A 13843-nucleotide genomic window follows, 5' to 3' on the forward strand; every position below is an offset into this window, starting at 1 on the left:
CCATGATTTAATGGCCCTACCAAGTGGTGGAGTGGGGGGCCTAGGGGGCTGGTCTCAAATCTAGATCTCCCCCAGATTGACTGGGATTCTTCTTCCTAGCTCAGCAACCCCTGTGACTAGCAGCTACACTGGTTTTATAAGAGCCAGCCCATTTTAGCTAGAGCAGCAGTCGATAGCTTTGTGGTATGGGCGGCCATACATCATTCATATTAAAACTGGCCACTGCCATGCCTGAGACATCCTGCTGAGACAGCAAGTCTTTTGTCAGCTGCCTTCTCTTCCCTTGACCCATTTTACTTGGCAGTGGTTCTGTCTTGGGAGTCCCAGGCCAGGGAGTGACTGACTGGGCAGGTGTCCTCCCTCTTCCCTGTCTCTGCCCTCTTTGGCGCCTCCTCTCGTTCTTTCTACTCTGAGTGTTCAGTGCTCTCAAGTTTTCTCAGCCTCCTCCATTGGGAGAAAAAAACACCAACAACTTATAATTGCATCCCTGCATTGGCTATTTAATTTGCTCCTCTTTCAGGCCCCTCTCTCCACCATTGTCTACTCCTGTAGCAGGACGTAGTTCTACTGATGAACAGCCTGGTCCGGGCCCCGACTGTCAGACCAACTGTGGTCCTTGGCTGGGGGTCCACAATAGTGTTCTTGGCTGGTCCTGCCTTGAGGCCTTGAGATACTGTGTCAGACTTCGTACTAACAGCCGTACAAGTTAAGTGTTATGGCCCCATTTTACAGACATGAGAACTGAGGTTCCTAGTCAAAGTCACATAGGAAGGACTCAAACCCAGACCCGCTGGACTTTTAAACCTGAACTGTAGTCTTCTGGGTAAAGGGGTTTCTCACTGTGTCCCTGAACCATTCCCCACCTGCTTCCTACTCCCACCCCTGTCTGTCACCATTTCCAGGAGTCTGAAATTCCCCTATTAAGAGATTTCTTCCTTGAGGCTGAAAGTATTTTAATTTTCAAGAGCCATTAGTCTGCAAAACCCCTGGGAAATAGAATCCCCTAAACTTTTATTTTCTAACACCAGAGTGGGGAGAGTTTAGTAGGCCAGTTCTACGGGAGGACATTGAGGGGACAGGACAGACAGGGGTAGAATGAAGGTGTTTGATTCACTGAGGACCCCTTCTCCCTGGTGCTTTGATGAGCCCAAGTTTAGCTTCCCACCTGGTTCCCGGGGGCCCCACAGCTGATCATTTCCAGCGAGCTATTTTGAGAGAGCAATTATCCTGAGAGTGCCTTCAGCTCCATCAAGTACAGTTTAATAAGGCTCCTGGGGAGCTGTGAGCTTCAAGTGCTGTGCAGAGTGGCAGAATGGGTAGGGACACGTGCTCTCTTCTACCTACAGGACCCCAGCTTCTGTGGCTCTGAGAGCCAGGCACTTGGCAAGATAGGCCTGAGTAGTGGTGTGTGTGTGTGTGTGTGTGTGTGTGTGTGTGTGTGTGGCAGGGAGGGGAGGTTCAAACTGACCCCTGGTTGTCATGGCAACCCGTCCTTGAGCCAATCTTATGCTGATCTGAGTGTTTCTGAAGACAAGCTGTAACTTCCTGGCTGACAGTGTTGATTTAGACTGGGTTGAGAGACCCTCTAGATTAAGGGACCACCCTATTACTGGCTTTGACACTGTAGGCTTCCAGGATTCAACCCAGGAATCAACATTTTTATTTCTGACTCAACACGGAAACCTCTTTGCTGACCTGCAGTAATAAACTTGCCCCTTCAATATTTTCCAAGCATCAGTGATATCTGACTCAGGGCCTGAAGGCAAGTGACAAACATCTCCTGTAGGTAGGAATTTATTCCATGAATTTCCCTTCACTGTCTCCCTTCCACCCTGCCTTGATGCTGAATCCACATGGACTACCCTCTTTTCCTGCATATTTTCCATGATATAGGACGCAGGAATCATAATAGCGACTAGGGAGTAGTTCATCAACCTGCCGGGCGTTGTAATAAACACTTGACATGCCTCATTTATCCTCACTACGATCACAGAGGGTACACACAAGGACTCATTTCACACACGAGGGCACTGATGTTCGTGGAAATGAAGTGGCCTGCCCAGGGTCACTGAGCTGGGCTGTGGTAGAACCTGGACTTGAGCCCAGCTTGTCTGATTGTTGAGCCTGGGCTGGAACCATTAGCATCCTGCCTTTCTGGCTGACCTCTGCGAGCAGAGCCACTCATACATGGTGATATGGATAAACTTAACCATAGGAAATTTAAACAAGGCTCCAGGTGGTGGGGTCTTCCCCTTCACTGCCACTTCTGCATTGAATGACCTGGGAAGAAAACCAATTTGTTTAAAGGTGAAGAGGCACCCCTTCCATAATTTAAGTATTTGGAATATATTTTTAAATTTTAATTAATTAATTAATTTGGAGGCAGGGTCTCGCTCTGTTGCTCAGGCTGGAGTGCAGTTGCTTGATTGTGGTCCACTGCATCCTCAACCTCCCTGGCTCAAGTGATCCTCCTGACTCAGCCTCCCAACTATCTGGGACCACAGGCACGTGCTGCCACACCTGGATAATTTTTAAAAAGTTATTTGTAGAGATGAGGTCTTCCTGTGTTGCTGGTCTTGATCTCCTGGGTTCAAGTGATTCTCCTGCCTTGGCCTCCCAAAGTGCTAGGATTTTAGGTGTGAGCCACCATGCCTGGTCTAAGTATGGGAATGAATATCAACCTGACACCTAAAAAGTTCACATTTTATTTAAAATAGGAATGTAGTGATTTCCAGTCTTTTTAGACTTGCAATGCTCTGTTGCTTTTGTTGTTATTGCTACTTGCTTTTTCTTTTGTTTTTGTAATATCCTTTCTGTAAAAGGACAGTTATCCGTGACATGAAATTCAATTTAAAAAGTGTTTGCTTTAAATTCTTCAATGGAACCCCTTAAGATAACTGGAGATGCCACCCAATCACAGTGATAACATCGTACCAAAAAGAAGTGGCGTGGGTTACCAGGTGCTAGAGACTGAATGTTTGTTTCCCCAAATTCCCATGTTGAAATCTTAACCCCCAAAGTGATGGTATTAGGAAGTAGGGCCTTTGGTAGGTGACTGGCTCATGAGGGCTCCGTCCTCATGAATGGGATTAATGCCCTTTTAAAAGAGACCACAGCCCGGGTGCAGTGGCTCATGCCTATAATCCCAGCACTTTGGGAGGTCGAGGTGGGCAGATCACTTGAGGTCAGGAGTTCAAGACCAGCCTGACCAATATGGTGGAGGTTACAGTGAGCCAAGATCGGGCCACTGCACTCCAGTCTGGGTGACAGAGCAAGACTCTGTCTCAAAAAAAAAAAAAAAAAAGAGAGAGAGAGAGAGAGACCCTGGAGAGCTCTCTCCTTCTACCATGTGAGGACACAGGGAGAAGATGGCCAACTATGAGCCAGGAAGTGGGCTCTCACCAGACACCAAATCTTCTGGCACTTTGATCTTGGACTTCCCAGCCTCCAGAATGATGAGAAATACATTTCCGTTGTTTATAAGCCACTGAGTCCATGGTATTCTGTTATGGCAGCCTGAACGGACTAACATACCAGGTGTGTCCACTTTGTGAAAATTCATTGAGCTATACACTTGAGATTTGTGTGCTTTTTGGTTTGTATATTATACTTCAATTTGGAAATTGACTTAAATATTTTTTAAAATAAAAGAATGAGGGCTTTCTCTGAATGGTTGCAAATTAGAATGCAGGGGCTGGTGTTCATGTCGAGCTCTCAGGGCCCCTGTAGAATGATCTGGTGCTCCCTGCCATTTGCTGCTCAGGGGCTCACAATGCAGGGTTGCACAGGGTTGAGTGTAAAGATCTCAGTGTGTGTGCATGTGCAGGAGAGAGGCCGGCCAGCAACTCTAACAGCAGTTGGGTTGTTTTTATTTATATCTTGGCTCCAACAGAAACTAGGTGTGTAACCCTGGACGAGTTCCTTAACCTTTCTGAACTCCAGTTTCCTCATTTGCAGAGTGAGGGTGATAACAAGGTCATATCAAAGAATTGCATGAGAAGGGATTAACTAGGATAACATGTTTAAAGGGCTTAGCCCAGGACCTGGGACACAGCAAACATGAAAATGATGTATGGAATCAGAATGCCTAGAGATGGGCTCTGGCATCCAGTTTTTAACAAGGTCCATAGGTGATGCTGGTGCACAGCAAGGTTAAGAATTACACGAGGCCAGGCGCAGTGGTGCACGCCTGTAATCCCAGCACTTTGGGAGGCCGAGGTGGGCAGACCACTTGAGGTCTGGCATTCAAGACCAGCCTGGCCAATATGGTGACACCCTGTCTCTACTAAAAACACAAAAATTAGCCAGGTGTGGTGGTGGGTGCCTGTAATCCCAGCTACTCAGGAGGCAGAGGCACAAGAATCAACTGAACCCGGGAGGTGGAGGTTGCAGTGAGCCAAGATCATGCCACAACACTCCAGCCTGGGCGATAGAGCGAGACTCAGTTTCAGAAAAAAAAAAAAAATTACACTGACCTGGCTTCTGCCCCCACCATTGCACCGTGGAACATCTAGAATGTTAATTCTCTTCTCTCCTCTCACTGGTTAGAGCAGAGGTCAGAAGGGCCAGATGTTTGGAAAGGGAACATAGATGGCAGAGGAAGGTCATTCCTTCCTTCCTTCCTCCCCCACACACTCACTGAACGTGTGCCAGGCACTGTGTGGGGGAAGGACAGACAGACGGCCAGGTGTGACTCCTGTACCCGGGCACTAACTGCTCACCAAGCAAATGGCCCCATCACATGCACTCTGCTGAAGGGGCACAGAACTCGTGGGCGTTGGTATCAGCTTTACCTCTGTGTTTCTGAGGCTTATTTTTCACATATGTAAAATGAGGGAAATGGACTGGATGGTTTTGGAGTCCTCTCATCCATGATATTCTATGACTTCCATAAGCACGCCCCTAAAAACACTGTACTGTAAAACTCAATGATCAGAAAATGAACAATTCAGTTAAAAAATGGGCAAAAGGCCTGAACAGACACCTCACCAAAGAAGGTATATAGATGGCAAATGAGCATATAAAAAGATGCTCAACATCATATGTCATCAGGGAAATGAATATTAAAATAACAGTGAGATACCACTACACATCTATTACAATGGTCAAAATACAGAACACTGACAGCACCAAATGCTGGTAAGGACATGGAGCAACAGGAACTCACCATTCATTGCGGGTGGGAATGCAAGCTGATATGGTCACTTACTTTGGAAGATGATTTGGCAAGTTTTTGCCAAACTAAACCTATGATACAGCAGTTGTGCTCCTTGGTATTTACCCAAAGGGAGTGAAAACTTAGATCCACACAAAAACCTGCACACGGATGCTTATAGCAGCTTTCTTTACAATTACCAAAAACTCACAAGCAACCAAGATATCCTTTAGTAGGTGAGTACATAAATAAACTGTGGTACATCCAGACAATGAACTATTATTTGTGCTAAGAAATAAATGAGGTATCTAGCCATGAAAAGACATAGAGGGGATGCCGAGGCAGGTGGATCATGAGGTCAGGAGATCGAGACCATCCTGGCTAACACAGTGAAACCCCGTCTCTACTAAAAATACAAAAAATTAGCTGGGCGTGGTGGCGGATGCCTGTAGTACCAGCTACTTGGGAGGCTGAGGTAGGAGAATGGCGTGAACCCGTGAGGTGGAGCTTGCAGTGAGCCAAGATCACGCCACTGCACTCCAGCCTGGGTGACAGAGCGAGACTCCGTCTTAAGAAAAAAAAAAAAAAAGACATAGAGGAGCTGTAAATGCATATTACTAAGTGACAAAAGCCAGTTTGTAAAGGCTACAAACTGTATAATTCCAACTGTGTGACATTCTAGAAAAGGCAGTAAAAGGAGAAGTAAAAGGATCAGTGTGGTTGCCATGGTTAGGAGAAAGGAAGGGATGAACTGGCAGAGAACAGAGGATTGTTTTTTGGCAATGAAATTATTCTGTATGATGCTACAGTGGTGGATACGTGTCATTATACATTTGCCTAAACCCATACAAGGTAACACAAAGAATGAACCCTAATGAAACTGTGAGCTTTGAGTGATGATGTGTTCATGTAGGTTTATCTGTTGTAACAAATGTTACCACTGTGGTGGGGGATGTTGGTAATGGGGGAGACAGGGGTATGTGGGAAATCTCTATACCTTCCATTCAATTTTGCTTTAAAATTGCTCTAAGAAACAATGTCAATTTAAAATAAAACAAACAAGCAACCAAAAATGCTGTATTATGTGCGATCAAGAGCACAGGCTTTGGGGCTACACTCCCTGGGTTTGAGTCCTGGCTCTGACTTATAACTAGCTGTGACCATCAACAAGTTAGCTAAACATTCTGTGCCTCAGTTTCCTCATCTGTAAAATAGGGATAATAATAGTGCCTGCGCTGCAAGTTTCTGTGAGGATTAAGTGAATTAATAAATCTAAAGCATGTAGCATAGTGCTAAGCAGTCAACCAGTATTAGTTATCATTTAACAAGTGGACCTTTTGAAGAGCTGATTCCAATTGATTGGCTGTCACTACCTTTTGGACAGAGCAATCCCTTGCACTCAGGATGGACAGTCAGACACCAGACAAGGACTAATTCTCTCCACTGTGTTGAGGTGGAAGACCTTTTTCAGAGTCAGAGCTTTCAAATCTACCCACGTTCTGAGGCTCAGAGAAAATACCTCTTGATGGGCCCATGACAACAGACTAGGCAGGAAAAACAGTGATATACCCATGTCTTATTTGATTGAGTGCCTTGGTAGAGACCCCAATTCCCCTTCTTCTCTTAAGTAGTCAAGCATTGTGCTGCTTCTGATGTCCCTGTGGGGAAGAAAGCTCAGTCCTAGACTAGGCCAAGATGGGTGTTCAGTCTTCAGGGGATCATATCATCAGGGAATCACCTTCCCAGGGGCACCACTGCCTCTGAGATATTAGTTGAGAACCCTCGATGAACTCTGATGTTCTGTTGCTTACTTTAAATGCATCTAATATTGATGGAACATTTTCCCAAATAGCTCTAATGCCGTAATTGTGCTTGGGATTTATACATATGCATATCAATACAAGTAGTTTGCATGGGTGATTTAGGGTTTCCTTTTAAAGCACACATACTTTCTAGGCCCCAAGAACCTAAATTGAGATATGCTGTTTTCAGATAAAGAACCAGGTATTAATATAATTAAGAGCAGGTATTACAGTCGACCTTGACCCAAAAGACCAAGAAGTCATACTTGAACTAAGATTCATTTGGCCACAACCTGTAAAAACCCAAGGAGTGGCCAGGCATGGCAGCTCACGCTTGTAATCCCAACACTTTTGGAGGCCGAGGCAGGCGGATCATCTGAGGTCAGGTGTTCAAGACCAGCCTGGCCAACATGGTGAAACCCATCTCTACCAAGAAGTACAAAAATCAGCTGGGCATGGTGGCGCGTGCCTGTAGCTCCAGCTACTTGGGAGGCTGAGGTGGGAGAATCCCTTGAACCTGGGAGGCGGAGGTTGCTGTGAGCCAAGATCACGCTACTTCACTCCAGCCTGGGCAATAGAGTGAGATCCTGTCTCAAACAACAACAACAACAAACCCAAGGAATGGATGTCCCCAAAAGGCAACTCCAAAGACTTCTTCTGACAGAAGGTCTAGTGGTGTCATCTCACTTTCCACTGAAAATGGTAGCCCTTTCTTCTTGGAGAGGCCTAGTCCCAAAAGAGAAACCTCCAAGAACCAGAAACTAAGTTTTTACACATGGACCTCAAAGAAGTCTTTCTTCTTTGCTTTGCCTTATTCTTTTGGAAACCTTGTGAAAAAGGTAAGGAAGGGATTACCAACCAGTCAAGCAACATTGGGAAATGCCTTTATTCAGTCCCTACCCAACCACAAGTAGCCCTGGGGTTAGGCACATCTATGTTTGATCTTATTTAGTCCTGACGGTGACCCTACACGGTAGGAATCACTACCCTCCCCTTTACCAAAGGGGATAATGAATCTCAGAGAAGAACCCGTGGCCCTGGGATTTAAATCTAGCACTCTTTCCACCACCCCAGGCTGCCTATGTTATATGACTTTTATGGCTCTCAGTTTCCTAGATGGAAAATTAAGGGTCCTGGTCAACAGGGTGAAAAAAAAAAAGAAAGAAAATTAGGATGTTGTAATATGGAATGTCTAAGACCAATGTTCATTCAAACTCCATGATTCTACAAATATTATTCTCTGCCATTAAAAAATGGAATTGAAGCATAGAAATGATCTTTGTTTATAGAGTCACAGAAGAAGTCAGGTGTAAGTGAGAGCCCTGCTTACCCCATTTATGCCTAGTGTTCCATTACTGGAACACTAAGCTTATGGGAGTTATTTATATTCTACTGCTCAAAGTCATTGCTAAGTTCTAATTTTTCACACAAAAAAATTGCAACTTCTGGCATAAATGGGTTAAAACTAGGTCTCTGGGCTCCCTTCTCATTGAGCAATGGACAGTTGGGGAGGCGCCTGGTGTTAGAGACAACATATCTTTCAGTGCCTTTGTTTATTTAGCATCCAGGCAGTCTTACTGCCAGCAGCTTGTCCCTTGAAAAAAGTTTCAGCCTCTCCTCCTAGGCAAGCAGCAGCCTGAGACTCTGAGCCAGGCTGAGTTTTAGGAGCCATGGCTGGACATCTTGCTGGGGGAGGGCCAAACCACAGCATCCAAGAGCTGCCTTCCTGAGCCCTTACTATGTGGTAAGCACTGTTCCAAGTGGGCAGGAACTCATTAAACCTTCATGACACTCCTATGGATTGGGTATTATCATACACACTCCATTTTAATGATGATGAAATTGAGCATGTAGAGGTTAAGTAACTTGCCCAAGGCCACACAGCTAGTAAGCATCGGAGACAGGATGCACACAGAGGCAGTCTAGTCCCAGAGTCCACACTCTTTATTTGCCACTGTATCCTACTGCCTTGTATGATACATTAATCTTAAAAGACCAGACATGCGAAAACTGTGTAAATGGCCAATCTGAGACACCAACAGGGCCAGTGGGTCTGGAAGAATTATGGCTGGGCAGTGGAGTCTGAAAAGACCCCCTCTAGCTCTGAAACTCTGACCTGTGGGAAGAAGGAAAGGTAGAAGGAATTTCTTTGCCCCAAAACAAGTTACTTAGGATGACTTTTTATTCTTTTTTTGCCCCCTAACTTTTTAAAGTTTATTTTTTGTGGAGACAGAGTCTTGCTATGTTGCCTAGGTTAGTCTCCAACTCCTGACCTCAAATGACCCTCCCACCTTGACTTCCCAAAGTGCTGAAATTACAGGTGTGAGCCACTGTGCCAGGCCATGTAGGAAGAGCTTTTAAAAGGGTAACTGCTCCTGTGCCAGTGGAGTGGGATAGTCCCAGGGCACCAAGCTGATTTGATTAAGAGTTTCCGACAAAGGGAGGAAGGCTGGTTCCAATGGTTTTTATTTATTTATTTTTAACTATTATTTTTTAATTTTTCTTTTCAAGTTTCCAATGATCCAATTGTTTTTCTACCTGTCTCTTAACACCTCTCAAAACTCCCTTTTATGCTTATAATTATTTAGTTAATTAGCTAATTATTCATCCACCTAAGGACTGGGCCAGTCTTTCTCATCATTTCATGATGCTGTGAGCCCTGCACATAGAAATAATCAAATATTTATTGAATGAATGAATGAATGAATGACTGAATGAAGGAATGAATAAAAATCCAACTCTGTGGTCTGAAATATACTCTCGTACACGGCAGGGCACAAACATAACAAGCTGGCATTTGAGGAAGTATTTGAAAGGAAAGGCTGGCTTTAAAAAGGAGGAAGGAGAGGATTAGGAAGGTGTATTTAAGAGATAGAGAAACGCTGGCGGGAGGAGATGGGTGGGGGAATCGTGGGCACAAAACCTGAAAGGAAGCCTGTGAACCTGGCCAGGGCTACCAAAGAAGCCCTTGTCCCAAGGTCCCCTCCAGAGGCCTTCTGACCGCCCTCAGCGCCCACCTCCCACCTCCAGCTCACCCCTGAGGCCAGCGCAGAGGTGTCTCCTCTTACAGGAGTGCATTCTAATTGCAAAATCATATCCTCGTTTTTTAAGGAGAGCCAATTCCTCCAGTTCCGAGTGTGGGGGCCTTTTCTGGTCTATGGGGACCTATTCTGGTCTCAGGGGGTGAGTTTCCAGGAGCCCAGGGACTCAGCGGGGAGGGCGGCTCTCTAGAAGGTACACTTTGGCTGACTTAGGGCAGGGTGCTGAGACATGCAGGTGTCAAAACCTGGCCCGGATTGCCTGGAGCTGGAAGAGCCTTCCAAGAAGTGAAAATCCCACCCCTCCCCCGCCTAGGCCCACACAACAGCCCAGTCATAGGGGCCTCCTTGGCTCCTCCCTACACCTCTCTCTACCACACCACCAAATTGTTGAGTGTAAGAGGAAACGCTACCTCCCGCAGAAAACCTAAAGGGACTTTTTTTCCCCTTCAATAAACATTTGCTGAAATAACTTTTTATTGGTGGTTGTTTTAAAATGCATAGCAGAAAAAGAGTCCTGAGAATTATTTCCACCATAACTTTTGTTCAATGAGATCTGTGTCATCAGTGGGGACCTCAATTTCCTCATCTGTAAAATATGGCCTCTTCCTTGCTTTAATATTCTACAAGTTTGTGCTGCATAAGGTGTGACTGATAATTACATCTCTGCTCAACAAGCATCTGTTCAACAAGTATTCTTTAAGTGCCAAGAGCCCAGACTGCTTTCAACATTATCAGGGACACAAAAGAAATGATTTCCTTCCATTTTTATTTAAATAAATGCAATCATATATTTGGCACATTGAGTGCCAAACATAAGCTCAGCACATGGTAGGTGCTATAGGAGTTTAAAAATTTTAAGATACTGTCCCTACTGATAACTTCAAGCATGTTGGAATGATAATGCATATGTGAAATAAGGAGAAAAATTTTAAATGGCATATGATTAGATGTTAGAAGGGAAATGCTAGTTAAGGTCAGAAGAGGGAGAAATCCCTGTGGGTTTGACCCATCTGAGAAGGTGACAAAGTAGGGGACTTGAGCTGACTGAACCATAATGTTGATGGTTATGATGGTGATGGTGGTGGTGGTGACGAACACAGCCAAATGTATTGGGCTTGTGGCAGGTATTGATATGGTGCTTCATAAGATCGTATTTAATCTTCACATAAACCCTCTAATGTAGGCACCATTATTGTCCACATTTAACTGTTGAGGAAACTGAGGCCCAAACTCTTTTTTATTTTTTTTGAGATGGAGTTTCGCTCTTGTGGCCCAGGCTGGAGTGCAATGGCGTGATCTCATCCCACTGCAACCTTCGCCTCCTGGGTTCAAGCTATTCTCCTGCCTCAGCCTCCCGAGTAGCTGAGATTACAGGCACCTGCCACCATGTCTGGCTAATATTTTTGGTATTTTTAGTAGAGATGGGGTTTCACCATGTTGATCAGGCTGGCCTCAAATTCCCGACCTCAGGTGATCCATCCACCCCAGCCTCCAAAAGTGCTGGGATTACAGGTGTGAGCCACCACACCCAGCCCCAAACATTTTATGGAAGAATCTAACCAACCTATATAGCAACATCTTCTGGGAGTGGGAGACGGGGATGAAGAAGAAAGAAAAAAGTGGAGAAGGGTCTTCGGTTTTCCTAGAAGCAGCATTGTGTGAGTGCAAAGTGAAAACATCTTTGTAGTATAATATCTAATGCATGTATTTTCAGATTAAACCCTCTCTTAAAAATAACTTGAGGCCTCTCTAGACTGTACATTTTTATAGCTATAATGTACTCTTTCAGATCTGAGCAAATACCACAAACTCATCTCAGATCTTATCTCTGACAACCTGGTTTGACCTTCATGATAGTTGGGAAGCCTGTGTTAAAGGAGAAGGGATTTGAGGAGACTTGCGATTTTGTGATTGTGCCTTTCTTTCTTTGATCTTCTAGGACACCTTTTGTCTCCTAACTCCTTTATCTCCTAAGACTGAGTTCTAGACTAGCTTCTGTTTATTTATTTATATATTTATTTACTTATTTATTTAAAGCATAGGGTCTTGCTCTGTAGACCAGGCTGGAGTGCAGTGGTGCAATCATAGCTCCCTGCAGCCTCAAACTCCTGGGTTCAGATGAACCTCCTGTCTCAGCTTCCCAAGTCGCTGCAACTACAGGTGTGTGCCACCACACCTGGCTTGTTTTTGTTTTTGTTTTTTGAGACAGGGTCTCACTCTGTCATCCAGTCTGCAGTGCAGTGATAAAATCTTGGTTCACTGCAACCTCCGCCTCCTGGGTTCAAGTGATTCACCCACCTCAGCCTTCCCAGAAGCTGGGATTACAGGTGCGTGGCACAATGCCCAGCTAATTTTTGTATTTTTTGGTAGAGCCAGGGTTTCACCATGTTGGCCAGGCTAGTCTCAAACTCCTGACTTCAGGTGATCCACCTGCCTAGGCCTCCCAACGTGTTGGGATTATAGGCGTGAGCCACCGCTCCCAGCCACGATGGGCTATTTTATTTTCGTAGAAATGGAATCTTGCTATCTTGCCCAGGCATACCTCAATTTCCTGGCCTCAAGCGATTCTCCTACCGTGGCCTCTTGAAGTGCTGGGATTACAGGCATGACCCACTGTGCCTGGCCTCACTCATTCATTCATTTATTAACCCAAGATTTATTTGTTAATCACCTATGATTTAAAATTTAATATGACTAAAACATCATCTTTCATCTAAAAAAGTTTGATCAGGATTTACGATCCTGGTGTCAACTTCAGGAACCCCCTATATATGGATGACCTACACAATGACATCCTCAACCTGGGCCTTTTATCCTCTCTCCATGTGTTTTCAGGACACATTTTAAAACATAATATTCTGGAAGCAGAATGCATATGCATCGGGTTTTCCCTAAATCACTCGTGTCCTCATTTCCCCATTTTTTATGAATATTATTCATCTTCTTGGGCCTCTAGTCTGTCATCCTTTATGGGCAGGGATGATCTCTTCGTTTTTGCTTGGCCTCCTCAAATAGGGTGGCACGTGGTGCATGGCTCATAGCAAACTTCAAACAAGATTGTCTGACTAAGTCATTTAAATGACTAACTGAATCCTGAGCGGTGAGAAGGCACTCAGTACAGTTCTGTATTTAGTCTCGCAGAGGTTGAGTGGCATGTGATAGATGAGGCAAGAATAGCAAACCGATAAAATTCCATGGTGTCAGTTGAGCACTCCTTTATAAGCTTGACTTTGGGTCATTTTATTCACGTATTCTTCAGCATTCTTTTATTGACCATTGTCAGAAAACCTGACTCAAACCACCTTAGCAAGAAAGAGAAAGGCGCTATATTAACTCCAATACTGTGAAGTTCTAAGACCAATTCAGCATGTTTTCATGGCATATTAGAGATTCAGGAACTCAAATGATAATCTCATGCCTATTTCTCTTTTTCCATGTCTTGGCTCTCTTTTACTCTCTGTGTTGGTTTCTTTCTCAGGTAGGCTTTTGTCACATGACAGAAAAAATGGCCATCCACAGCCACAAACTACCTTCATACACTGGTATTTTAAAGGAAAGGAACCCCTCTCTTCCTTGGTATTTAGATGTCAAATCTCAAGGAACACTCTAATTGGCCCTGTTTGAGTCATGTGCTCATCCCTGAACCAATCACTATGGCTTTGGATATGGACTACTGTAATTGGCCAATTCAGGTTGCACCCCTCACATCTGGATGGGGGCAATGACGCCCCTCCAGGGCCACAGGGAAGAGGGAGAGAAGTGGTTCTCCAAAGAAAGGAATGCTGAGAACAACATATATCAACTATACTCCTCCTCTCCCTAAATCCACCTGCCCCAGCATTTTT

The 13843-nt window shown here is 44.8% G+C and overlaps 1 annotated feature.

Annotated features, from left to right (window-relative positions):
* Positions 9918-9967: an enhancer, noted in NCBI's record as "active region_8744". NCBI's record gives its function as "activates an Ori minimal core promoter by ATAC-STARR-seq in GM12878 lymphoblastoid cells {active_cell/tissue: GM12878}" and the evidence as "EXISTENCE:reporter gene assay evidence [ECO:0000049][PMID:35858748]".

This window comes from Homo sapiens, chromosome 14 (genome assembly GCF_000001405.40).
Source record: "Homo sapiens chromosome 14, GRCh38.p14 Primary Assembly".
Lineage (NCBI taxonomy): Eukaryota > Metazoa > Chordata > Mammalia > Primates > Hominidae > Homo > Homo sapiens.